General features: G+C 49.6%; 1 protein-coding gene across 4 annotated transcripts in view, besides 3 other annotated features; it reads right to left on the bottom strand.

Moving 5' to 3' along the window:
• The window catches only part of PPP2R5D (protein phosphatase 2 regulatory subunit B'delta), a 27773-nt gene extending 1208 nt beyond the window's left edge, over positions 1 to 26565 (bottom strand). The window contains exons 1-15 of one of the 4 annotated variants that reach the window (NM_001270476.2): positions 26431 to 26565; positions 21447 to 21524; positions 4456 to 4689; positions 4025 to 4224; positions 3829 to 3939; positions 3629 to 3721; positions 3070 to 3200; positions 2875 to 2934; positions 2660 to 2768; positions 2389 to 2442; positions 1908 to 2078; positions 1686 to 1813; positions 566 to 667; positions 399 to 471; positions 138 to 254 (exon numbers count right to left, since the gene is read on the bottom strand). In NM_001270476.2, the coding sequence (NP_001257405.1) occupies positions 138 to 254; positions 399 to 471; positions 566 to 667; positions 1686 to 1813; positions 1908 to 2078; positions 2389 to 2442; positions 2660 to 2768; positions 2875 to 2934; positions 3070 to 3200; positions 3629 to 3721; positions 3829 to 3939; positions 4025 to 4093 (1218 nt within the window). In that variant the 5' untranslated portion in view covers positions 4094 to 4224; positions 4456 to 4689; positions 21447 to 21524; positions 26431 to 26565. The remainder of the gene's footprint in view (positions 1 to 137; positions 255 to 398; positions 472 to 565; positions 668 to 1685; positions 1814 to 1907; positions 2079 to 2388; positions 2443 to 2659; positions 2769 to 2874; positions 2935 to 3069; positions 3201 to 3628; positions 3722 to 3828; positions 3940 to 4024; positions 4225 to 4455; positions 4690 to 21446; positions 21525 to 26430) is intronic. The other 3 variants (NM_006245.4, NM_180976.3, NM_180977.3) reach the window with 3 other exon arrangements.
• Positions 22270 to 22564: a silencer, noted in NCBI's record as "tiled region #14905; HepG2 Repressive non-DNase unmatched - State 15:Elon, and K562 Repressive non-DNase unmatched - State 15:Elon". NCBI's record gives its function as "represses a minimal TATA promoter and a strong SV40 promoter by Sharpr-MPRA in HepG2 and K562 cells {active_cell/tissue: HepG2 | K562}" and the evidence as "EXISTENCE:reporter gene assay evidence [ECO:0000049][PMID:27701403]".
• Positions 26207 to 26356: a silencer, noted in NCBI's record as "silent region_17212". NCBI's record gives its function as "represses an Ori minimal core promoter by ATAC-STARR-seq in GM12878 lymphoblastoid cells {active_cell/tissue: GM12878}" and the evidence as "EXISTENCE:reporter gene assay evidence [ECO:0000049][PMID:35858748]".
• Positions 26447 to 26516: a silencer, noted in NCBI's record as "silent region_17211". NCBI's record gives its function as "represses an Ori minimal core promoter by ATAC-STARR-seq in GM12878 lymphoblastoid cells {active_cell/tissue: GM12878}" and the evidence as "EXISTENCE:reporter gene assay evidence [ECO:0000049][PMID:35858748]".

Genomic DNA, 26565 nt, shown 5'->3' with positions numbered 1-26565 from the left:
GGACAAGGTGAGGAATGGTGACCAATTCCCAGTGAATTCTATTGTTCCGTCCCCTTATTCTTTGGCTCTGCTGTTTCTGTCTCCTCTCCCTTCCAGAGCTATTATTTCTGCTCCATCCCCCTACATTGCCCTCCCACCTGAACAGCCTCAGTCTCCACAGTCCTCTTCAGAAGCTGGATGTCCTCAGCTGTGGGGGTCTCTGTCTCCATCGAGTACACAGGGGGCAGTGGTGGAGGGGCTCGGAACATGGGATACTGAGTGAGGAGACATGGACAAGCGTTAAGAGCCACTTCAGAGGCTTGGGGGCCTGTGTGCCCCATATTCCTCCCCCAACAAACTCTCCCCCAGCTCAAGATGGGCTGGCCCCTCAGTTCACAACAGTGGCAGGAAAACCTCACCTGGGGATTAAGCCGGGCCAGCTCCTCGATTTTTTGCCACATCTCTTCCCTTTCCTTCATTCGGAACCGGCCCCTGAGGAGCAAAAGTAGGATTGGGGTTGGGCTTGAGAGAAACACAGTGAGCTGGTGGTAGAAGATGAAAGTCTCCCGGGGAGAGAGATACTCACTTCTGCTTCTCTGCCTTGTATTGTTGTGTGCAGTCATCAAACAGCTTCTGATTCATTTCCATAAACAACTTCAGGGCATTATAGATCAGTCCATGGATTGTCCTGCCACCAAGAAGAAAGATGAGGTGTAGGAGGCCAGAGCCTGCCCTTAGCGTGAGGAACCCAATTTGTTCTCTCACAGGGGTATCTCTGCTAAGAGCTTTGTCATTTACTACTTCCAGTTCACAAACCTCTGTGCAGTATCAGAAGAGAGCTCTGGCCAAATCACCTGGTTTGAGACTGGCATTTCATGGTTTTCACAAATATCGGTCCACCTGTCCATCCTTCCCTCACCCCATGCTCCAAGGCCTGCCTACCTCCCATCCTTTCCCACTCTAACCCACACTAATGGCCTCCCAGCAGCATGATGGGCATGTAGATGCAGCATGACAGACTGCATCTACACCACAGTGTGCTTGCTTTTAGCAGAAAAGTCTTTTCAAAACCCTGAGTTTTTTTTTTAAGACGGAGTCTCACTCTGTTGCCCAGGCTGGAGTGCAGTGGCACGATCTCGGCTCACTGCAACCGTCACCTCCCAGGTTCAAGTGATTCTCCTGCCTCAGCCTCCCAAGTAGCTGGGACTACAGGCATCCACCACTACACCCAGCTAATTTTTGTATTTTTAGTAGAGATGGGGGTTTCACTATGTTGGGCAGGCTGGTCTCAAACTCCTGACCTCGTGATCCACCCGCCTTGCCAGCCTCCCAAAGTGCTAGGATTACAGGCGTGAGACACCGTGCCCGGCCTAAAACCCTGGGATTCTTTACACATACTCTCAAAGAAGGTCACATCAGCTTCTCACTGCATAGAATTACATCTCCAAAGCTGTGATAGGACCTGTAGAATAGCTGAACCCAAGGAGCGGTGTAACAGGCCGCTGCCCTGCTGTTTGGTATCACAGAGATCTTGCACACAGGCATCTTTTCGCTCCAGTCAGCCCCTCAAGGTCCTATCAACATGCAGGGGACATCAGCCCCACTTGCTGGGTGACTAGGTGAGACCCCTGGCTCTTTAGTTCTTCCATACCCTCAAAGTTTCCCAAACTGGATCCCCACCACCCAGCCCCACCCCAGCGCCTTACTTGTTCCAGTGGCTCTTGGAGTTCCTGTAGAGTGCAGGGAACATGATGGGGAGGACTCGGGCAGCATTGTCACTTATCAGGCTCATGATGTACTCATTGTTCCAGTAATAGAGAGCACGCTCTGCCACCTGGTGGGGAGAGGCAGACTCGGTGGGTGCTGCTCATTTCACTCAAGACCTCAGTTTCTGGCAGGGGCTAGGATATGCTAGGTTGGAGTCTCACCTGGAAATGGGGGCTAGAGACACACTTGGCCAGCTGGCGGAAGAGGGGTTCCATCACTTTGCTGAACTCAGAAGGTTCAATGACGTCCAGAATCTCCTCCAGCTCATTCAAGAACATCACCTCCTTGGGGCTGTGGGTCTTGGGCCAAAACTTGAGAAGTCCCACAATTACCTGGGAGACAAGGAGGGCATGGGGATGAAAATTCTTTGCACCTGCCTAGGTCACCAGGAAGTTTTCCTACCTGCTCTCTCCCCCACCCTGGTGGGCACAGTTTGGGTGATCTCAGCCAGCTACCCGTTTCTTTGCCTTGGATCTGTTTCCTAGGTGTATATAGGTTTTGCTTCCCCTTCAGAGAGGAAACCATGTTACCGGTCAGGTCACAGCCCTCCTGAGTTCCCCCTTATGGCACCCCCAGTAGGTACAGACTGGCAAGTGATGCTGACAGTAAGAGGTGGGCCTTGGGGCCCGGAAGGGGAATTACCGGCTCAGTCAGACTGCTCTCCTTCTCCAGGAATTGTACCACACAGTATGCCAGCTGCAAAGGTGTGAGGTAGAAGGGAGGTGAGGTGTAGGTCCTAGAAGCTCTCAGAGAAGTCAGTGATAGAAACAAGATCCCAGAAGGGAAGGGGAGATGGAGGGAAGGAATTATCCCACCTGCTCCCTATGCTTCCCCTATCCCAGCTGGAACACTTTCCTGCCGGCTCTTTTCTCTGCTGCCTGAGTTGGACATTATAAGGAGGAAGGCAGCTCACCTGAGGGTGGTAGACACTCAGGGACTTGACCTTGTGAAGGGGAAGTAGGACACGGATGAGGAACATCTTGTGCTCTTCTTTAAGGGGCAGGGCAAAGCCATTGATGATGCTAGGAATTAAGGGACATTTGTTAGGACCAGAGGGTCAGATCCAAGTTCAGTACACCAATCCTGCCAACCTTTTTCAGGCATCTGTGCCCCCACCCGGCCTCTCACCTGCCCAGGATCTCCAGGAGCTCAGCAATCCCGTTGTGATGCTCCGTCTCGTAGATGAACCTGAGGGAAGAAAAATGGCTCTCTTGACAACCCCTGATGTCCCTCCAGCATTCTGTACAGTCCCCCCACCTCCCTGCTCCCACCCCACCTCAGTAGCAGAAGGTTTTGCTCCTAAGCCTGGGCTCCTGGCCTCACCTGTAGAAGATGTGGTTGATCTGCCTACGGATATAAGCCCGGAGCCCCAAAAACTTGCCATAGATGCGATGCAAAATGGTCTTGAGGAAGTCCCGCTCTCGAGGATCCTCACTGTCAAATAGGTCTAGGAGCTGGGGGTACAAGGGAGGGAAAGCAGCCAGTGAGGCAGCAGCCAGGGAAGGCAGTGGCCAGGGTGACATAGGTCCCGCCAGGGGAAATGCAGAGGTCCCCTGGAGTGGGGGCCAGCAAGTCTTAGAAAGCAGTGATTCTATTATATTGCTGATTCTATTGTATTTGTACTGAGACTTCCAAAGTGATGCCTCACTATTGACCTGAGAGAGGTACTCTGTTGCTTTTTTGTTTCCTACCATTATGTTGTTAGTTTCTTAAGGCCAGAGTAGGGTTTTGTTTTGTTTTGTTTTTTACCCTTTATAGCCTCCTCGTACCAGACATGGATGAAACCCAATATATTCAGCTTAAGGGGAAAGAGCCACTGGGACACAGATGAAGGGGGCATGGAATGGAAAGAGAGGGCAAGGACAGGAACTCGGGGACTCACAGCAAGTACAAACTTCTGGTCGATGTACTTCTTGGCTATGTTTGGCTGGAAATCAGGAGACTCAAGGAAACGTAAGAAGAACTCATACACGAGCTATAGGGGAAAAGGCACGCCACTGAGGGGATGTTCCCAAGGACTTGCAGGCCTCCAAGTGCCCCACTCCCTGCAGCCACGGCCAATCTGCCCCCTTGCCCTGGTACCTGGAGATGTGGCCAAGCAGCTTCCAGGGTGGGCTCATCTTCCTCTGGGTCAAACTCAGCCCCTGTGGGATTCGATGAAGGTGGCAGCGTCCGGAAGAGGTTCACTGAAAACTGAGGGGTAGGGCCAGTTAGAGCTCCACCTGGGCTTCTCCAGAGCCCCTCACCAGTCCCCCCTGTGTCCTTTCCCTGTGCCCACCATGGTGACAGCCTCAGGGTAAATGGCCTCAGTGACAACATCACGGCTATGGGTGATGTACTCCACCATCTCGTTGAGTCCTGCCCGCTTCACCTCCTTGAATTTGAGGTCACTGAGTGGGTCTGACACGAAGTCAAAGAGGACACAGCACTGGCGTAGCTTCTGGATAAACAGCTCCTCCCGCTCCTGGGTTGGCGAATCTGTGGGGGCCCCAGCAGTCAGGTTCTCCTCTGTAGTCCTTCACTGCGATGCCCTGCTTGCCTTCAAGGGCTTTCCCTTACCCCACCCTGCCACCATCCTGCTCCCTGGCACCCCCTTCCCGCATTCTCTGGAACTCCCTTCCCCGCAAAATACCCCAAAACTTCCATTCCACCAACTCCCGATGCCCACTAGAACTGGTAAAACAGCCCCTGTGACCAATTGCCAAGTACCTTTCAGGGCAGGAAGCTTCTGCAGCTCCCGATTCTTGCTGAGGTTGAAGCGGGAGGAGCTTTGCCGTCGCTCCTTCTTGACAATCTGGGGCCCCCCTGAGTACTTGATTTTGCTGAGCTGCGTGGGGGGCGGCGTGCTATTGCTGGGACGCTTGTTGGATGACGGTGGCTGAGACTGGGCTTGGGGCTGGGGCTGGGGCTGGGGCTGCGGCTGGGCCTGGTCAAACAAGTCACCTGTTGAAATCCACTTCCCAAGATATGCCTCCCACCCTGGGCCTGGCCATCCCCAAGTCTGTTTATGCCTGCACAGGCCTGGGCAGTGAGCAGCTGTCTCCTGCCCCGAAGGAGCTAAGGCCAGGGTTACAGAGATAACTGTGCTGTAGCCCTGGCAGGGAGCAGTCAAGAAGTCACATCACCCAAAGAGATGCCCACTGCTTGTGCATCAAGAGCCTTTAAAACGTTCATTCCAGTTCATGAACAGGTAAAGCTAATTGATAGATTGATGGTGACAGAAGTCAAAAAAGTGATTACGTTGCCAGGGGAAATGGGGTGGGTATTGCTAAGAAGACACATGATGAATAAGAAGACACATGAGGAATAAGAAGAGACATGAGGAGCCTTCTGAGTAATGTAAACATCCTGTATCTTGACTGGACCTGCAAGGTGGTGCATGGCAGATACATACCTAAAATTTATTGAGCAGTACACTTAAGATCCTTTACTGAATGTATGACAGTCTCCAATCAAAAGGTAGAAGAGGCCGGGCGCAGTGGCTCACACTTGTAATCCCAGCACTTTGGGAGGCCGAGGAGGGCAGATCACCTGAGGTCAAGAGTTCAAGACCAGCCAGGCCAACATGGTGAAACCCCATCTCTACTAAAAATACAAACATTAGCCAGGCGTGGTGGCAGGCGCCTGTAATCCCAGCTACTTGGGAGGCTGAGGCAGGAGAATCGCTTGAACCCAGGAGGCGGAGGTTGCAGTGAGCCGAGATCATGCCATTGCACTCCAGCCTGGGGGACAAGAGCGAGACTTTGTCTCAAAAAAAAAAAACAAAACAAAAGGTAAAAGAAAGGCCAGGCACAGTGGCCAAAGCCTGTAATCCCAACACTTTGGGAAGCCAAAGCAGGAGGATTACTTGAAGCCAGAAGTTTGAAACCAGCCTGAACAACGTAGCAAGACCCCATCTCTACAAAAAATTTTTTTTAATTAGCCAGGTGTGGTGGCACATGCCTGCAGTTCCAGCTACTCAGGAAGCTTACTGGAGTTCCAGCTACTCAAGGTTGGAGGATCCCTTGCGCCCAGGAGTTCAAGTCTCCCATGAGCTATGATCACACCAACTGCACTCCAGCCTGAACAACAAAACAACACTGTCTCTAAAGATAAAAATTTTCAAATTTAAAAAGGTAAAAGAAAGAAATTCATTCCCATGTCTTAGGACTTTACTAGAAATTTAGCTTAATAAAAATCCTAAATTAAAAAAAAAAAGCTTTGGAGGAGACAGAGGTAGCCAGGCAAAAAGAAAAAAAAAAAAAAAAGCTTTGTGCACAAATACTTTTAACAACCTCATTTATAACAGAAAATGAATAAATGGAATATCAGGAGTTAATATTATGTTTATAAAAACTATGGGCCAGGTGCAGTGAGTGGCTCATGCCTGTAATCCCAGCACTTTGGCCAAGGTGGGTGTATCACTTGAGGTCAGGAGTTCCAGACCAGCTGGCCAGCAAGGTGAAACCCCATCTCTTACTAAAAATACAAAATTAGCCGGGTGTGGTGGCGGGTGCCTGTAATCCCAGCTACTCGGGAGGCTGAGGCAGGAGAATCACTTGAACCCAGGAGGTTGCAGTGAGCCAAGATTGCGCCATTGCACTCCAGCCTGGATGACAGAGTGAGACTCTGCCTCAAAAAAAAAAAAAAGAAAAGAAAACTATGTAATACATAGTTTAGTTGTAAAAAATATTTTCACGTTCATAGTAATTTGCCCAAAATGGTGGTATTTTTGGAGGAAGGGAAATGTCTGCAGAAAGGCATAAGAATGATGAGGACTTATTTTCCATGGTAGAAAGTCAATTGATAATATCTAAATCTCAAAAAAAAAAAAAAAAAAGTAGGAAAAGAATCCAATGTGAAAATCTAAAGGAATCTAATCTAAAGTAGGAAAAGAATCTAATGTGAAAATCTAAAGGAATCTAATGAGGAAAGAGCTAAGAGTTGCATTCCAACCCCAATAGTAGTAATATCTGAACAATGTATGTGTTATCATACTGATAAAATTTTGAAATAAAACAAAAGGCCTAAAACTACATAATGACAGAAAATTGCTTCCTATGCTAAGTTAAATAATGATAGTACAAGGCCAAGTGCGGTGGCTCACGCCTGTAATCCCAGCACTTTGGGAGGCCAAGGCAGGTGGATTGCCTGACCTCAGGAGTTTGAGACCAGCCTGGACAACACAGTGAAACCCTGTCTCTACTAAAATACAAAAAATTAGCCAGGCCTGGTGGTGGGTGCCTGTAGTCCCAGCTACTTGGGAGGCTGAGGCAAGAGAATTGCTCAAACCCAGGAGGCGGACGTTGCAGTGAGCTGAGCTCATGCCACTGCACTCCAGCTCCAGCCTGGGCGACAGAGCGAGACTCCATCTTCAAAAAGTAAATACACAGGCCGGGCGCGGTGGCTCACGCCTGTAATCCCAACACTTTGGGAGGCCGAGGCGGGCAGATCACGAGGTCAGGAGATCGAGACCATCCACCCCGTCTCTACTAAAAATACAAAAAATTAGTCGGGCGTGGTGGTGGGTGCCTGTAGTCCCAGCTACTCGGGAGGCTGAGGCAGGAGAATGGCGTGAACCCGGGAGGCGGAGCTTGCAGTGAGCCGAGATCACGCCACTGCACTCCAGCCTGGGAGACAGCGAGACGCCGTCTCAAAAAATAAATAAATACATACATACATACATAAAAAAAAAATACAGTACAAAACTAGATACACAAAATGAGCTCGCTCACATTAAAACACATGCACAGAACCAAAAACGAGGTTCAGAAAAGGTAAGAACAAGCCCAAGTCCACCACTGTGTTAATGACTATCTCCTGTAGTAGAATTAGATTACTTCTGCATTTCTAAATTTTCTACAAGCTGACACTGCTTTTTTTCTGCCTTACTTCCATTGTGTAGTATGATACTGCTTTTATAATGGGAGAAATGCAGCTAATTTTTAAAATTATCTCTTTTTATTTTTATTTTATTTATTTATTTTTGAGATGGAGTCTCGCTCTGTCATCCAGGCTGGAGTGCAGTGGCAGAATGTTGGCTCACTGCAACCTGCACCTCCCAGGTTCAAGTGATTCTCCTGCCTCAGCCTCCCGAGTAGCTGGGATTACAGGCACCCGCCACCATGCCAGCTACTTTTTGTATTTTTTGTAGAGATGGGGTTTCTCCACGTTGGCCAGGCTGGTCTTGAACTCCTGACCTAAATTAATCCACCTGCCTCGGCCTCCCAAAGTGTTGGGATTACAGGTGTGAGCCACCGTGCCCAGCCTAAAAGCTATCCCTTTTTAAAGGCATAGCTCCCAGACACAGGTGTTACAGCCCCATGAAGTCCATTTTCAGAAGTCTAAATACAGGTATTTGCAGGGCTGTCTGCCCACAGGTACTCCTGGACTGTCCAGGCAGCCCCCTGTTGGGAGAGGAAAGAAGCTAAACCACAGGACAGCCCTTGCCCCCAAACAGAGTCTAGAATAGGACTAGGCAGAGGCCATGTCCAGCTGGGTACCCTCACCACAGGGAAAGGGAAAGGTGACCTCTTGGCCTCATACCTGCCATCTCCCGCTCCTCTCCAGCTCCCATCCCAAACTCTTACTCCTTACCATAATAATAGAAGAACTTGAAATCCTCTGGGGTGGGGGAGGGAAGGAAGACAGAAATGTTATTAATTGCATCCTCTGAATTTTTTATAAAAACAATGATGTGGACTTGTCACCTATCTAGGGATGAGAGAACAGGAGAGGAGCACCGGGTCCAGCCTGTGGGTCCCGTGTATTAGACATGGCAAGGCATCTGGAGGTCTGAGGTCTCCCTTTCTACATATGGCAGATGAGTTGCACCTTGGGGTGGGGGAAGTGGTAGTAAGAGAAAAGCAGGTTGGGGGCCAGCACTTGGTGTGTATCCAGACACTCCTCTGCCTCAGGCCTCCATTTCCCTGCCTTAAGAACAACTAGGCCAGGCACGGTGGCTCACACCTGTAATCCCAACTCTTTGAGAGGCAGAGGCGGGCGGATCACGAGGTCAGGAGTTTGAGAGCAGCCTGGCCAACATGGTGAAACCCTGCCTCTACTAAAGATACAAAAAATTAGCTGGGCGTGGTGGCACGTGCCTGTAATCTCAGCTACTCGGGAGGCTGGGGCAGGAGAATCTCTTGAACTCGGGAGGCAGAGGTTGCAGTGAGCTGAGATCATGCCATTGCACCCCAGCCTGGGTGATAGGGCGAGACTCCGAATCAAAAAAAAAAAAAAAGAACAACCAAACCCTTATCTGTGGAGCTTGGTGCTCAATAACACCTTGGGCCAGACTGCCTGCCTGGGTTCAATCCTGGCTCGCCACTTATTAGCTGAGTAATATCCAGAAAGTCTGCACCTCAGTTTTCTCATCTACAAAATGGGATGACAACCATACCTACCTTATAGCACTATCGTAAGGATAGAGATGAACAGTTCCTCGCACTAAAGAAGCATTTTTTTTTTTTTTGAGACAGAGTCTGGCTCTGTCACGCACTAAAGAAGCATTTTTTTTTTTTTGAGACAGAGTCTGGCTCTGTCACCCGGCTGGAGTGCAGTGGCGCAATCTCAGCTCACTGCAACCTCTGCCTCCCGGGTTCAAGCAATTCTCCTGCCTCAGCCTCCGGAGTAGCTGAGATTACAGGTGCGTGCCACCACGCCCGGCTAATTTTTTGTCGTATTTTTAGTAGAGACGGAATTTCACCATGTTAGCCAGGCTGATCTCGATCTCCTGACCTCATGATCCGCCCGCCTCAGCCTCCCAAAGTGCTGGGATTACAGGTGTGAGCCACCGTGCCCAGCCCTAAAGAAGCATTTTATAAGAGGTACCTTCTACTACCACCACTACTATTACTATTATTTCCCATATCCAGGTTTTAGGAATGCAGCCTAGAATCTCCTTCCTATGCTAGCACAACTCAAATGTTCCGTTGAGTCCATTATCCTCATTTAAAAATGGGGGATCCTGGCCGGGCACAGTGGCTCATGCCTGCAATCCCAGCACTTTGGGAGGCCGAGGCAGGTGGATCACCTGAGGTTGGGAGTTCAAGACCAGCCTGACCAACATGGAGAAACCCCAACTCAACTAAAAATACAGTTAGCCGGGCGAGGTGGCGCATGCCTATAATCCCAGCTACTCGGGAGGCTGAGGCAGGAGAATTGCTTGATCTTGGCAATGAGCTGAGATCATGTCATTGCACTCCACCCTAGGTAACAAGAGTGAAACTCTGTCTCAAAAAAGAAAAAGAAAAGGAAGAAAATCAGGAACCTAGGAAATCACTGCATCTTCCAAGACTCAGTTTAAGTCCCACCTTCTTCCAAAAAGTCTTCTCAGATCTTTCCAGCCCTTGGGTGTCACCCCCTCTTTTTGATACCACTTGTCTCTTCCCTTGGCGCTGTGACTGCTCACCCCCTAGTGACACCTCTTAGTCTCTTCATGTGTCATTCCCCTAACTAGATGGCAAGTCCTTTGAAAGCCAGGACCCTGTTTGTACCCCTCTGGGTGCCCCCAGCACTAACACCTAATAGGAATTCAATGAAGGTTTGGTTGGTTGGTTGACCAGGAGCCAAAGCTCTCAGGTCCTGCCCAGGCTCCTCCCCACAGACTCTTCCTCTCCTGCCCCAACTCAGGAATCCTCAGAACAGGGGGCTATACAGCATTAGGAGCAGAGTCTGAAGGAGAAACATCAGTGATACTAGGGTGAGGGGCTCAGTGCCAACCTGACAACAAGACTCCATCCTTCCAGGTAAGATGCAGACACCCTGTACTTCCACACACCTCACACTGAGGAGGCAGCCAGAGAGGGGCATTCTTCCCAGAAAGGGAAAAGGAAGGCCTCAATGTTTTCTGCTAACAAGAAGGTAGCCAGGCACGGTGGCTCATGCCTGTAATCCTAGCACTTTTGGAGGCCAAGGCGGGTGGATCACTTGAGGTCAGGAGTTCAAGACCAGCCTGACCAACATGGTGAAACCCTGAGTCTACTAAAAATGCAAAAAAACAATTAGCTGGGTGTGGTGGTGCACGCCTGTAGCCCCAGCTACTCAGGAGGCTGAGATGGGAGAATTGCTTGAACCCAGGAGGCAGAGGATGCAGTGAGCCAAAATCACACTACTGCACTGCAGCTTGGGATTCAGAGCAAGACTCTATCTCAAAAAAAAAAAAAAAAAAAGGTGGCCAGACGTGGTGGCTCACGCCTGTAATCCCAGCACTTTGGCAGGCCAAGGTGGCTAGATCAGGAGGTCAGGAGTTCGAGACCAGCCTGGCCAACATGGTGAAACCCCGTCTCTACTAAAAATACAAAAATTAGCTGGGCGTGGTGGCGGGCGCCTGTAATCCCAGCTATTCCGGAGGCTGAGGCAGGAGAATCGCTTGAACCTGGGAGGCGGAGGTTGCAGTGAGCCGAGCTCACGCCACTGCACTCTAGCATGGGCGACAGAGCAAGACTCCATCTCAAAAAAAAAGAGGTGGCAGGACTAGATCAGTGGTTTCCCAACGATTATTCCGGTAAGGTTTAGAGAGAACAGGGGGTCTTATGCTCCACCAATGGCCAGGCATGGTGGCTTATGCCTGCAATCCCAGCTCTTTGGGAGGCCGAGGCGGGCAGATCACCTGAGGTCAGGAGACCAGCCTGGCCAACATAGCAAAACCCTATCTCTACTAAAAATACAAAAAATTAGCCAGGCGTGATGGTGGGGGCCTGTAATCCGAGCTACTCAGGAGGCTGAGGTGGGAGAATCACTTGAACCTGGGAGACAGAGGTTGCAGTGAGCCGAAATCGTGCCACTGCAATCCAGCCTGGGCAACAGAATAAGACTCCATCTCAGAAAAAAACAAAACAAAACAAATGAAACAAAATAAAAACCACCCAATGAGCTGATATCTAAGGTCTTTTCTACACTAGCATTGTGTTATTGAAGGCTAGAGTGGCTGGAGAGCAGCTGAATGGGCTTAGTCTGCCCTGCCCCCTACCCCACTGAGCTGCCCTGGTTTATAAGGACCATTGGCTCCCAAGATCCAGACACAAGAAGCATCTGAGAGACAGCTGTTTCTGCCAGCGAAGCCCCTGGCTGCCAAGCCCCAATGAGGTATCCGCTGTCTATTCACCCTTCACTAGGAAACATGCATGTCAGAGGGAGGTGGGGGATATGTCAACTACTCATGGGCATTCAACCATTTCTCTTAAAAGCCCCAGCCACTAACTTGTGCATTCACCTGGGTTGGGGGTAGAAGGCAAGTGAGTCCCCTGAGAAGCTTCTGCAGCCATCAAAGCAGGGGTGGACACTGACCAAAGGCAACTTGGCCAATCTGTCCTCTACTCGCTACTTTGTCCTGCCCAGTTTCACTTCGGGACTCTATTTATTTATTTATTTTGAGACAGGGTCTCACTCTGCCACCCAGGCTGAAGTGCAGTGGTGCAATCTCAGCTCACTGCAACCTCTGCCTCCCAGGCTCAAACGATTCGCCTGCCTGAGCCTCCTGAGTAGCTGGGATTACAGGCGTGCACCACTAGGCCTGGCTAATTTTTGTATTTTCAGTAGAGACGGGGTTTCACCATGTTGGCCAGGCTGGTCTCGAACTCCTGACCTCAAGTGATCTGCCTGCCTCAGCCTCCCAAAGTGCTGGGATTACAGGCGTGAGCCACCGTGCCTGGCCTACTTTTCTGTAGTTTTTGTAGAGACAGGGTTTCACCATGTTGCCCAGGCTGGTCTCAAACTCTGGAGCTCAAGCAATCCACCCGCCTCAGCCTCCCAAAGTGCTGGGATTACAGGTGTGAGCCACCATACCTGGCCCTCACTTCTGGGACTCCATAGAGGCCATCTCTTCTGCCTGAAGTACTACTACTTTCACTTCCAAACTCTCAACAGGATCCATACTCCAAGAAGCCTTCCTAGATTCAGGCCTCCAGCAATCAAGTGGCACTGTGAATTTCCACACGACACTCATACTCAGAAAATTCCAACTAAACGTGCCTACTCTGAACCTATCCTGGTCCAGCCTATTCCGAACACGGCCATCATTAATAATTAAACCCACGCTGGGCACAGTGGCTCATGCCTGTAATCCCAGAACTTTGGGAGGCCGAGGCAGGCAGATCACGAGATCAGGAGTTTGAGACCAGCCTGACCAACATGGTGAAACCCTATCTTTACTAAAAATACAAAAATTAGCTGGGCGTGGTGGCACGCACCTGTATTCCCAGCTACTCAAGAGGCTGAGGCAGGAACATTGCTTGAACCCGGGAGGCAGAGGTTGCAGTGAGCCAGCATCACACCACTGCACTCCAGCCCGGGTGACAGAGTGAGACTCCGTCTCAAAAAAAAAAAAAAAAAAAAAAAAAAAAAAAAAAATATATATATATATATATATATATATATATATATATATATATAAATAAAACCCAAATATTCAAATATAAATAAAGAGATAGGGGCCTGGCATGGCGGCTCACGTCTGTAACCCCAGCACTTTGGGAGGCCAAGGCAGCAGATCACTTGAGAACAGTTCGAGACCAGCCTGGACAATATGGCAAAACCCCGTCTCTACTAAAAATACAGAAGTTGGCTGGGCATGGTGGCTCACCCCTATAATCCCAGCAGTTTGGGAGGCTGAGGTGGGCGGATCGCCTGAGGTCAGGAGTTGGAGACCAGCCTAACCAACATGGTGAAACCCTGTCTCTACTAAAAATACAAAATTAGCTTTTAGTACAAAATGTACTTTTAGTACAAAAATTAGCAGGGCATGGTGGCGGGCGCCTGTAATCTCAGCTACTTGGGAGGTTGAGGCAGGAGAATTGCTTGAACCCGGGAGGTAGATATTGCAGTGAGCTGAGATCGCGCCATTGTACTCCAGCCTGGGCAACAAGAGCGAAACTCCATCTCAAAAAATAAAATAAAATAAAAATAAAAATAAAAACGGCCAGGCACAGTGGCCCACGCCTGTAATCCCAGCACTTTGGGAGGCTGAGGTGGGCAGATCACCTGAGGTCAGGAGTTCAAGACAAGCCTGACCAGCATGGAGAAACCCCATCTCTACTAAAAATACAAAATTAGCCAGATGTGGTGGTGCATGCCTGTAATACCAGCTACTCAGGAGGCTGAGGGAGGAAAATCACTTCAGTCCGGGAGGCGGAGGTTGCAGTGAGCTGAGATCACGCCATTGCACTCCAGCCTGGGAAACAACAGCGAAACTCCGTCTCAAAAAATAAATAAATAAAAATAAATAAAATAAATAAAAATACAAAATTTAGCCGGGCGTGGTAGCGGGCGCCTGTAATCCCAGCTACTCAGGAGGCTGAGACACAAAAATCACTTGAACCCGGGAGGCAGAGGTTGCAGTGAGCCAAGACACTCCAGCCTGGGCAACAAAGGAAGAGTCTGTCTCAAAAATAAATACATAAAAAAACAAAGAGATAACAATATAATTTAAGCACTATAGAAAGTATTTAATATAAGAGAAAGATGAAACATACAATTACCAGAAAAAATGCAAAGATTAAATATTATATCTCTTTTGCATAATGAATTAACTGGCCTAATAAATGAAGATCATTTTAGTTTAAAATCCCAAAAATCAGAGGCCTTCTCTCCAGTAGTGACATCCAGAGCTCCATCTAGTGTTGCTTAATTCTTTCCTTCCTTCAATTATTAACTAAACATCATGCTAAGCATTAAAGATTAAAAGTTTATATGCAAATTCTATACCATAAAAAAAGATTAAAAGGTGACTAAGACATGGCCCTTGCCATCAAAGAGCTCACAGTCCACTAGGCAGGACAGACACAAATGCAGCTAACTGAACAAGGAAAATGCAAGAACAGAGAAGGCTGAGCTGTAAACTCTGCTTGGAAGAATTAGGGAAGATATCCCTGAAGAGGTGGCTTTTGATTTGTTTGTTTTTTTTTCTTTTTTGGCCCTTATTTTTTTTTTATTTTTTTTTATTTTTGAGACGGAGTCTCGCTCTGTCACCCAGGCTGGAGTGCAGTGGCGCCATCTCGGCTCACTGCAAGCTCCGCCTCCCAGTTTCAGCCATTCTCCTGCCTCAGCCTCCCGAGTAGCTGGGACTACAGGCGCCCGCCACCACGCCCGGCTAATTTTTTGTATTTTTTAGTAGAGACGGGGTTTCACCATGTTAGCCAGGATGGTCTCAATCTCCTGACCTCGTGATCCGCCCCGCCTCGGCCTCCCAAAGTGCTGGGATTACAGGTGTGAACCACCGCGCCTGGCCCCTTTTTTGGCTCTTAAAAAATAAACATGAGTTTAAATGGCCGGGTGCAGTGGCTCATGCCTATAATCCCAGCCCTTTGGGAGGCCGAGGCGGGCGGATCACGAGGTCAAGTGATCGAGACCATCCTGGCCAACATGGTGAAACCTCGTTTCTACTAAAAAAAAAAAAAAAAAAAATAGAAAGTCCCAGCTACTCGGGAGGCTGAGGCAGGAGAATGGCGTGAACCCCGGGGGGCGGAGCCTGCAGTGAGCCGAGATGGCGCCACTGCACTCCAGCCTGGGCGACAGTGAGACTGTCTCACTGTCTCACTCTCACAGGCTCGTGCCTGCAGCCCCAGCTACTCGGGGCTGAGGGGAAAAGATCCCTTGAGCCCAGGAGGTTGAGGCTGCAGTGAGCCATGATTGTACCACTGTACTCCAGCCTGGGGAACACAGTGAGACCCAAAAAAAAAAAGGAGAAAAATTAGTTGGGCGTGGTGGTGAGTGCCTGTAGTCCCAGCTACTTGGGAGACTGAGGCAGGAGAATCGCTTGAACCTGGGAGGCAGGGGTTGCAGTGAGCTGAGATCACACCACTGCACTCCAGCCTGGGCGACAGAGCGAGACTCCGTCTCAAAAAAAAAAAAAGAATAAACATGAGTTTAATAGGCAAAAAAAGACACAGGAGAAATAAAGCAGTCCGGGCCAGTGGAACTGCATCTGTGAGCACCCTGAGTCATAAAGGGGTTGTCATATCAGAAGATAGGAAGTTGGGCAGGGCACAGTGGCTCACACCTGTAATCCCAGCACTTTCAGAGGCCAAGGCAGGAGGATTGCTTCGGTCCAAGAGTTCGAGACCAGCCTTAGCAACATAATAAGAAACCTATCTCTACAAAAAATACAAAACTTAGCTGAGCACAGTGGCTCGTGCCTGCAGCCCCAGCTACTCAGGGGGCTGAGGGGAAAAGATCCCTTGAGCCCCAGGAGGTTGAGGCTGCAGTGAGCCATGATTGTACCACTGTACTCCAGCCTGGGGAACACAGTGAGACCCTATCTCCAAAAAAAAAAAAAAAAAAAAAGAAAGAAAAAGTTCGGTGGGACACAAAGGCAGGACTGGTGCTAGAAGAAGAGTGGGGCCAGCTCAGAGGGGTTGAGGGTGCCATGCTAGTGAGTTTGGATTTTAACTTGTAAGCAGTGAGATGCCAAAAATGGTTTTTAAGTAGAGGACTGATAAGACCAAGAAGGTTTTTAGAGTAACAACTCTGGCCTCAGAGAGGACAAGCTGAAGTGTGGGAAAATTTATTCCTCCCTCTGTCCCTACTCCCAGACTCAGGACAGGGCTCAGCACGTAGAGGAGTCTATGACATTAATTTTTTTTTTTTTTTTTGAGATGGAGTTTTGCTCTTGTTGCCCAGGCTGGAGTGCAATGGCGTGATCTTGGCTCACTGCAACCTCTGTCTCCCAGGTTCAAACGATTCTCATGCCTCAGCCTCCCGAGTAGCTGGGATAACAGGCTGGGATTACAGGCATGCCCCACCATGCCCAGCTAATTTTTGTATTATTAGTAGAGATGGGGTTTCACCATGTCGGCCAGGCTGGTCTCTAACTCCCAATCTCAGGTGATCCGCCCGCCTCGGCCTCCCAAAATGCTGGGATTACAGGCGTGAGGACATTGAATTTTTTTTTCCAAGGACAGATCAAGAAAGACCCTTACCTGCAGAGGCAGGTCAGTGGGGTCTCACCTGATCTCCCAAGGCTCCTTTCCATTCTAGGATTCACTTCTAGAATCTTAGAGCCAGCAGTATCACTTCATTCAAGACCACAAGAGACTCCAGAGTCACACAGACCTGGGTTGAATTCCAGCTCTGCCTTACTGCCTTACTGGCTGAATAAAAGCTACTTAACATTTCCTTTTGAGACAAGAGTCTTGCTCTCTCCCCCAAGCTGGAGTGCAGTGGCACAATCTCAGCTCACTGCAACCTCCACCTCCCAGGTTCAAGCAATTCTCCTGCCTCAGTCTCCCAAGTAGCTGGACCATGCCAGGCTAATTTTTGTATTTTTAGTAGAGACAGCGTTTCACCATGTTGGCCAGGCTAGTCTCGAACTCCTGACCTCAGGTGGTCTGCCCTCCTCGGCCTCCCAAAGTGCTGGGATTACAGGCGTGAGCCACTGTGCCCAGTTAACATTTCTAAGCCTCAGTTTCATCTGTGAAATGGGAATAATAATAATAAAGGAATCTCAGGGGAGTATTGTGAAGGTTAAATGAGACAATGTATGCAAAGTACTTAGCACAGTGCCTGGTACATAGTGTTGCACAGTATCCAGTCCCCTACCCCCTCCCCTCACCAAATTCATGTCCACCTAGAATCTGTGAATGTGACCTTACTTGGAAACAGGGTCTTTGCAGATGTAATCAAGTTAAAATGAGATCATACTGGATTGGGGTGAAACCTAAGTCCAATATGACTGGTGTCCTTAGAAGAGGAAAATTTGGACAGAGACAGAGACACATGGAGGAGAATGCTGTGTGAAGACAGAGGCAGAGATTAAAGTGATGCATCTACAAGGAATGCCAAAGATTGTCAAAAGCCACCAGAATCTAGGAGAGAGATGTGGAACAGATTCTTCCTTAGAACCTCAGAAGGACATGGCCCTGCCGACACTAATTTTACAACTTTTGGCCTCCAGAGCTGAGAGAGAATGTATTTCTTTTTTTGTTTGTTTTTTGTTTTTTGAGACAGAGTTTCCCTCTTGTCACCGAGGCTGGAGTGCAATGGCACGATCTCCTCTCACTGCAACCTCCGCCTCCTGGGTTCAAGCAATTCTCCAGCCTCAGCCTCCCCAGTAGCTGGGATTACAGGTGCGCCACCACTACGCCCGGCTAATTTTTGTATTTTTTTTTTTTTTTGAGACGGAGTTTCGCTCTTGTTGCCTAGTCTGGGTTGCAATGGTGCAATATCGGCTCACTGCATCCTCCGGCTCTTGGGTTCAAGCGATTCTCCTGCCTCAGCCTCCCTAGTAGCTGGGATTACAGGCATGTGCCACCACGCCTGGCTAATTTTTGTATTTTTAGTAGAGACAGGGTTTCACTATGTTGGTCAGGCTGGTCTTGAACTCCTGACCTCAGGTGATCCACCCGCCTCGGCCTCCCAAAGTGCTGGGATTACAGGTGTGAGCCACCATGCCCAGCCCAATTTTTGTATTTTTAGTAGAGACAGTGTTTTACCATGTTGGCCACGCTGCTCTCAAACTCCTGACCTCAGGTGATCCACCTGCCTCAGCCTCCCAAAGTGCTGGGATTACAGGTGTGAGCCACCGCACCCAGCCTATTTCTATTGTTTTAAGCCACCCAATTTGTAATAATTTGTTTTGTTTTGTTTTCTTGAGACAAGGTCTCGTTCTGTCACCCAGGCTGGAGTGCAGTGGTACGATCATGGCCCACTGCAGCCTTGAACTCCTGGACTCAAGCGATCCTCCGCCTCAGCCTCCCGTGTGGCTGGAAGTACAGGGGCACATGCCCCCACATCCAGCTAATTTTTTATTTTTTATTTTTTTGTAGAGACAGGGTCTCTGTATGTTGCCCAGGCTGGTGTCAAACTCCTGCCCTCAAGCAATTCTCCCACCTCAGCTTCCCAAAGCATTAGGATTACAGGTGTGAGCCAGCATGCCGGGCTTATTTGTAGTAGTTTATTATGGCTGCCCTAGGAAACTAACACAAAGTAACTGCTCTATAAAATAAATGTCAGCTGCTATAACTATTAGATCAATTAGAAAGGCTCTGGCAAATGCCTGACAGAGCAAAGCTGGCTAGAAGAGCCCAAAATTCCGGACAAGAAAAGGGCAAGGGGGCCGGGCGCGGTGGCTCACATCTGTAATCCCAGCACTTTGGGAGGCCGAGGCGGGTGGATCACGAGGTCAGGAGATCGAGACCATCCTGGCTAACATGGTGAAACCCCATCTCTACTAAAAATACAAAAAATTAGCCAGGCGTGGTGGCGGGAGCCTGTAGTCCCAGCTACTCGGGAGGCTGAGGCAGGAGAATGGCGTGAATCCAGGAGATGGAACTTGCAGTGAGCCAAGATCGCGCCACTGCACTCCAGCCTGGGCGACAGAGCAAGATTCCATCTCAAAAGAAAAAGGGCAAGGGAAGGACTGTGCCAAACAGCTTTTGAAGACCACAGCCTCACATCCTAGCTCCAACTTTTCCCCATACCCCTGCCATACCAGACGTGGGTACATTTCTACAAAATCATGGATAATTCCTGCTGCCATCTCATACCTGTGAACCCTGAGCAGCGTTTCACCAAACAGCCCAAGGTGAACTCAACACCCTCCTTTCCCAGATTGCTTGTAATAGACCCATTGTCTTAGGCATATTTGTTTGAAAGGCAGTGGATAAATCATAGCAGTTGGTCTCAGCATACTCCTTAACCTGTTCAGGCTTCATTTTCCCATCTATGAACTGATAACGTTAGACCCTAAGGTCCTTTTCAGCTCTAATGTGAAATTGGTGCATTTGTTCATTCACTCGTTCACTCATTCACTCACTAATACATTCAAATGCTGGGTGCTTCTGCTGTGTCAGGCCCTTCAGGAGTGAATGAGAGCCTCATGGAGCTCTCGTGCTAACACAAGAGACAGCCGATAAAACAATGAATTCACAAGGAATTATTTCATGACAGTTGTGGTTAGGTGCTACCAGCGCTACCAGGTACTGAGTGCCAAAACAGCAACTAACAGAAGCCCTCGCGAGGTCCTGGGGATAGGGGTGGGTGGTCAAAGAAGGCTGCTTTAAGGAAACGACATCCCATCTAAGAACTAAAGAAGTAGGAGTTAGGCAAAAGGTGGGAACTCCCCATTAAATTTTCCTTCCTCTCCCAGGATTTTCAGGACTTAGAAAATCCTGTTTCTTGCTGCTCTAAATGTCAAGTTACCAGCTTCCAACCACCTTCCCTGTGGGTCCCACAATTATAATCATTCCTGAAAGGGAGACTGAGCCCATAGTGTGTCTTCCCAGAAGCATTTACTATGAACCAACTGCACAAGTACACAGAGGTAGGAAAGAAGCAATGCAGAATAACATAGCTCCTTCCCTTGGAGTTCACAGTCTGAGAGGAGAGACACAGATGGGGACAAATCGTCACAGAGCTGAGTGATAAGGATTATTAAGGAGATATTTAGAATACCGCATAAGGGCCGGGTGCAGTGGCTCACGCCTGTAATCCCAGCACTTTGGGAGGCTGAGGCGGGTGGATCACCTGAGGTCAGGAGTTCAAGTCCAGCCTGGCCAACATGGTGAAACACCGTCTCTACTAAAAATACAAAAAAATTAGCCAAGCATGGTGGCATGCGCCTGTAATCCCAGCTACTCAGGAGGCTGAGGCAGGAGAATTGCTTGAACCCGGGAGGTGGAGGTTGCAGTGAGCCGAGATCGTACCATTGCACTCCAGCCTGGGCAACAAGAGAGAGACTCCATCTCAAAAAAAAAAAAAAAAAAAAAAAAAAAGTAGAATACTGCATAAGTGCAGAGGAAAGAATAATTCCTCTTCTGTGGTCCTCAACTTCCATGCCTATAAAATGGGGAAAACCTACTCAGCTTCTCATTACTTAAATGAGGCCTAAAATGAGGTGTGAAAAGTGCTTGTATCTCTTTAGAGGTGACCTATCACCAGAAGTACTGAGAAACATCTAAACGCATAGTTAACCCCAAACATTTGCTCATCAATCTCTTCTCCCAAAAAACCATAAGACCTGTCCATAACTAGAGAGCTGTGTTTCCAGTTCTCTTTCATCCCTCTGAACAGTTTAGAGCAGAGGGAGAAAGCAGAGAAAGCACCAAACACCAGTTTCCAGGTAGGATGTGGTGGATGCTCGCTGTGTATGTTCACAGGATCTTTCACCATCCAGAGCATCCCACTGTGCACACTCCCAAACTTTCATGGACATACTGTGTACTTCCTTAAGTCTCTCCCTCTTCTGGTGTTCTCTCGGCTTGCTGTTTATTGCTTTATAACCCGAGATTGCTAAGCTGCGCTGAACTCTGCTCAGGACTGTCTTTTAGTCATGCTGCCATTCAATCAGGACCAAGGGCAGTGGGCCCAGCTGGGCCCAACTCAGGGACACCAGCCCCTCCCAATCCCCTGCCCCACCCGAGCCATGCTGAAGTCACTTGTTACCCCATCAAGTGTCTGTGGACTTTTCCCCTTTTGCCCAGGATCCCAGAACCTCCCGCTTTTTGCCCTAAGAAAAAGGAATTCTCAACATTCCAAGTTGGTAAGCAGAGAAACAACTTTCATAGGAATCTCTGGGGAGTCTGAAGAACTAGAGAATGTATTTGGTCTATACCAACCAAAGGTAAATCCTGCCTGAGGGCAGTCTGGATGGGCTGTCCAGGTCCCTCCCAGGATATGGAAGCCTTCCCTTCTGCCTCACCCCCTGGGATCCCCTACCCAACTAGCCATCATGGAGTTGCGGGTGGCACCTGCACCACATCTAAGGCTACGCCTACATTCATTACCTCCTCAGTGTTCTCGCCTCCACCATCCTTGCCCGAGCTGCTAGGCTTGGCTGTGCATTTGGCAACCTTGGGGGGCTCCTGAAAGGAAAAGATGAAAGTAAAGTTAGCAGATGCCAGGAGAAGGGAGAGGTCTTATCTGGCTCCCTTAGATCTTTGTTGCAAATATCCTCTGTCCAGTTGAATCAATCAATTAGAATCTACCTTGTGCGGAGCTGGGGTGGGTGGAGGGATCTACGCAGAAGGAGATTCAGCCCCTCCAAAGAGTTTAGAATCTGGTTAGGAAGTCACCCCAAACACACACTAATTCAGCGTGAGAATGCTCCATCTTTCACCTCATCAGGCTGGTGCAGAGGTTGGGCCTGGGAGGGCCTTTGCTCAGGTCAGAACCAGGGTGAGGAGGCTTAAAGAAAAAGCATCAGGGAACAGCTGCTCACTGGTTTCTGGCTAAAGTGGTCAAAGGTGTGCCGGAGGCTTTCATGCTGGAGTGCAGGGAGTCACCACTCTCCCCTCACAGCCACCTGGAAAGACTGGGAGGCAATTTTTGGATGTCACAAATAGCGCACAGACAAGAGGGTGCTACTCAGCATTTAATCAGTAAGGCCCAGGAATGCTAACAGGTACAGAACTGTCCCACTCAAAATGCCAAGAGCACCTCAGTTGACAAGCACTAAGACAGGGATGGGGGTAAAACCCTGAACTGTTACAAAGAGTGAGCACTAGTCTGAAGTCTCCTTTGGGAACCTGGCAGCTGGCTCAGAGCCCTGGCCTGCCCAGCATCTCTTCCTATGCTTCGAGCCAAAAAAAGCAACTGCACAGGGACAGGATAGGGAAAATGTGAAAAAGACTTGGGGATTTAGGTCTGACTGCAAGCTCAACACAAATCATCCATGTGCAGCTCATGTGACCTTCCATCTTGTTAAAAGACCTGTGCAGACTGCTTGGCACTGACAGGGCTATCCTGGAGGATCTGGTTCAGTCATGAGCATCAGGCTTGGGAGGGGCCATGACAAATCCTAGTGTTTCTTAGAGGGAAATGCAACCCATACTGGGAGTGGATTCAAAGGCATGTCCCAAGACCAACAGCTGCAGGAACTGGGATAGTTAACAATGGAAGGGAGGAGTCATGAGGGATGGAGAAGCAAGATGGATCTTAAACAAATGAAGATGCAACTTGGATGCCTTGGATGCAACTTGTCCATATGGACCAGAGGCACGAGAGCAATGGGCTGAAGTTGCAAGCCACCTGAAGCTCCAAACAAGGAAGAATTTTATCATGGAGCAATTGCACTAAAACTGGCCACCTAGTGAAGCCGAAAGCTCCCCAACCCCTGAGAACATTCAAGCAGGGGCTTGGTGACCTCCTGTAAGGCATGTTGCAAAAGAAATTCAAGCCTTTAATGAGGACTGGAGGATCTTGGAAATCACTTCCAGCTCTGAGATTGTGCAATTCAATAGCAGCCAAGCCCCTTCAGTGAGAAGTGTTAAATCGAGTTATTGTGACTATGGGGGCAAAAGGATTTCAGGGAGAAGAGAGCTCTGTGTGGGCTGGAGTAGGGGGAAGGCTTCTTGGAGGTGGGGAGGAAGAAAGGTGTGGTGTAGAGCAGCTCCATGCAGTAGGGGGAAGGAGTTCCTTCTTTGGCCTGAGCACGCTCCTGCTGTATACTAACCCAGCTGGCCACACTGACCCTTATCAGTGGCTGAGAGCATGGGGTGGAGAGAAATAGGCCGGGGGCAGGGTGCAGGCAGGACACAACATTGAGGTGTCTGCACACACCCCAGACATGAACCCCTTGAACAAAGCTGACCCATCTTCATACATCTCCAATCTATTAGACCATAAGCTGCTTATTCTTTTTTGTACCCCTCCACCCACCCTACAGCACTCAGCATGATGCCTCAGACGTATCTTTCAAAGAATGAGCCTAAGAGAGATCCAGCTGCCTTAGTGTGTGGGTGTGAGTGGGCATGGAGGAACCAGGCCTACCACCCTTGCTCCCTGGCTCCTGCAGAACAGGTGAAGCACACACATTTCAGCCCAGCTCAGTAGTCAAATGCTGTGTAGCACAGAGGTTAAAAGAACATGTTTGGACTCAGCCCTGTGTTTTGGGCCCAACTCTTACTGGCTGTGTAATCACAGGCAAGTTAACTAGCCTCTCTGAGCCTCAGTTTCCTCATCTATTAGATGATGACAATCATAATACCCTCTTCCCTCAGCACAGTGTTAAGGCACATGAAAACCGTAGTGCTGGTCAATGTTATTACTATTATTATGAACAAGAAAAAAATCGGAGGGGGCAGGGGCACCCTACTCAGGAAAATAAAAGAGGTAAGTCCCAGAGGAGAACATGAAGGAAGAGGAGAGATGCGAATCCCTCCAAGAGATTATCTTAGCACCTATCCACTAAGCACGTACTTACCGTGTGAAAAGGAGTTGTCAAACCAAAATGAAACTTAGTTATTATCTCAAAGGGGAAGAAAAGTCTTGTCCACAATTAATTCCCATCCAAGGCCAAACACAAAAGGACCATAAGTGGCCTACTAAGTGTTCTGCAAATCCAGAAAAGAAAGGAGAGTTCACTCCTGACTGAGGGCTCAGAAAGGCTTTAGAGAGGAAGCTGTGAAAGATGGCCAGGAGAGAGGGGACAGGTCATAGATGAGCAATAAAGATCCTCCACCCACAGCCATCCAGACAAACCTCAGTCACACTGGCAACCCCCCTGCCCCTTAGAGCCTGCCAACCATTGAAGAAGGCCAAATGCAACTGAAAATCAAGAGCAGAAAAACCTTATAGGGAGGTGAGAGTTATGCCTGGCTCCATGCACCCCGTTACTTCCAACACCCTTTCCCAACCAAACGTTTACACCCATGGTCCTAGCAAATCTCACTGGCAATTTGTCTTCTTCACAATCTAGTAGGCTATTGCTTTCTGTGGATGGGACAGTATCTAGTCCAACAGACTAAAAATTACAAATGGGTGGGGACCTCACCAGCTTTCCCCGAATTCCATTTCCCTTAGCCCCTGTTGTGGCTGATTTCTGTGTGCATTGTCTACGACTGAGCTACCCAAACCACCTCCGCATGCCCACTCCCCAAGGACAGGGCCTGGGTGGGGCACAAAACCCTGTCCAGCTCACTACTCCCAGGAGGCTCACTATCTAGTACACCATCACCAACCCTGTACTTAGAACCTCAGGCCCTGAAAGGTTAAGGGGACAACTCAGAATCAGAGCTGCCTGGCAAATACAGAACAGCCCCAGGAGAAAAAGTTTGATTGAAAAGGTCAGAGATGGCAGCCCAGTAACCCAGCCAATCAGAGGGCAAATGAAAGCAATATACCTCTGGGGTCATCGAGCAGGTGGCCAGAACACCAGGCCAGAGCCAACCCCCACCAAAAAGGGCCAGCCCCAGGAGAGGAGAAGCTGGGGGAGGCTGGAACTGGTATCCTAGCATCCTATGTGTGAGTCTGTACCTCAAAGGAACCACACCTCTGAGTCAGACCTCAGCAACAGCAGGAAACAGAGGGTAGAAAAAGGCACGGATGAGGAGCAGGGGAAGGCAGCACCGAGGTAGATGAGGAAGGTGAAAGAAGGCAACATTAAGAACTGGCCTGTGGGCCAGGCACGGTGGCTCACACCTGTAATCCCAGCACTTTGGGAGGCCGAGGGGGTCAGATCACCTGAGGTCAGGAGTTCAAGACCAGCCTGATCAACATGGAGAAACCCCGTCTCTACTAAAAATACAAAATTAGCCGGATGTGGTGGCGCATGCCTGTAATTCCAGCTACTTGGGAGGCTGAGGCAGGAGAATCGCTTGAAGCTAGAAGGCAGAGGTTGTGGTGAGCCGAGATCGCGCCATTGCACTCCAGCCTGGGCAACAAGAGCAAAATTCCATCTCAAAAAAAAAAAAAAAAAAAGAAATGGCCTGTGTCAGGACATCATGATAAAGACATGGGTGTTCAGGGGTGGCTGGCCTGCAGGCTAAGAAGGAACAATAATCTGACAGTGAGGACAAATTCCCAATTTGAAGATGGTGTAGCTTAGGAAAGGCAGAAATCCAGCACTGGTGCGAAAAGAAAAAAAAAAAGGAAAAATGCAAAGGTTATCCTAGGATTAAGAATAAGGGTGAGGAGCCTACTCAGATTAGGAAAGGTGACTGGTCTAGGATGCACTTGGGTGACAGTTAGGAGGGCTTTGATACAAAAGAGGCCTTTAAGTCAGGAGACCTGATATTGCAGCTGGGCCTCCAGCAGGCTGTGTGACCTTGGACAAGTCCCTTGCCCTGTCGGGGCCTCAGTCTCCTCATCTGTACCATTAGGGATTGCACTGCATGCGCTCAGAGGTCCCTTCCAGCACCAACGTTGTGAGGTTCCATCAACAGAAGGGCTCAGTCCTGCTTACAAGTTTGTGTGTGAAGGAAGAACTAGAGGGAGGGGCCTAGGCCAGATTTGGGTGGAGGAGAGAGAAAGCAGCGCTGTTCTAGGTCAGGGGCTTGGCATGGAAAGAGAAGGGGCCGTAGGGGACTGCGGGGCGGCTGTCCCAGGCGGGTAGGAAGAGGAGACAAGGGGCTGCTCAGGGCGGGGCGAGGGGGCAATTCTGGAGGAAGGTGCAGTTTCAGATGAGGGGCTGCCCAAACCGAAGGGGGATCGGGGCCAGGGGTGATGGGGGGGACAGAAAAAGCAGGACAGTGACCTGGGAATGGGGCAGATCTGGAAGAAGGAGGTTACCCTGGGCCGGGGGTAAGAGAAGGGAAGAAGGGAGGGAGGTGTATGTGGGGGGAGTCTCTCCGGGGCAAGGTGGGGGAGCTGTCCTAGCTGCGGCACAAGCTGGGGGTGCTGCCAGCCGCGGGGGCGGAGGGCTGGCCCCAGGAGTCCTGCGGGGGCTGGACGGGAGGGTCAGTCTGGGGCTGTCCCGGGCCTGGCTCCGGCCCCTCCCAGAGCTCCGCGCAGGCTCCAAGGCGGCGGTGGGGGAAAAAGGGCCACGCTCACCTTCTCCTTTTTCAGTTTATAGGGCATCTCGGCCCGTCCGGACCCGGCCCGTCTCCTGCGGCCCCGCTCCGGCTCCGGCTTTGCTCGGCCGCACTCGGCCCGCTCGGCGTCTCTTCGCCACCGCCTGCGCGCTGC

Source organism: Homo sapiens, chromosome 6 (assembly GCF_000001405.40).
Source record: "Homo sapiens chromosome 6, GRCh38.p14 Primary Assembly".
Lineage (NCBI taxonomy): Eukaryota > Metazoa > Chordata > Mammalia > Primates > Hominidae > Homo > Homo sapiens.
This window is presented reverse-complemented; position numbering and strand designations above follow the sequence as displayed.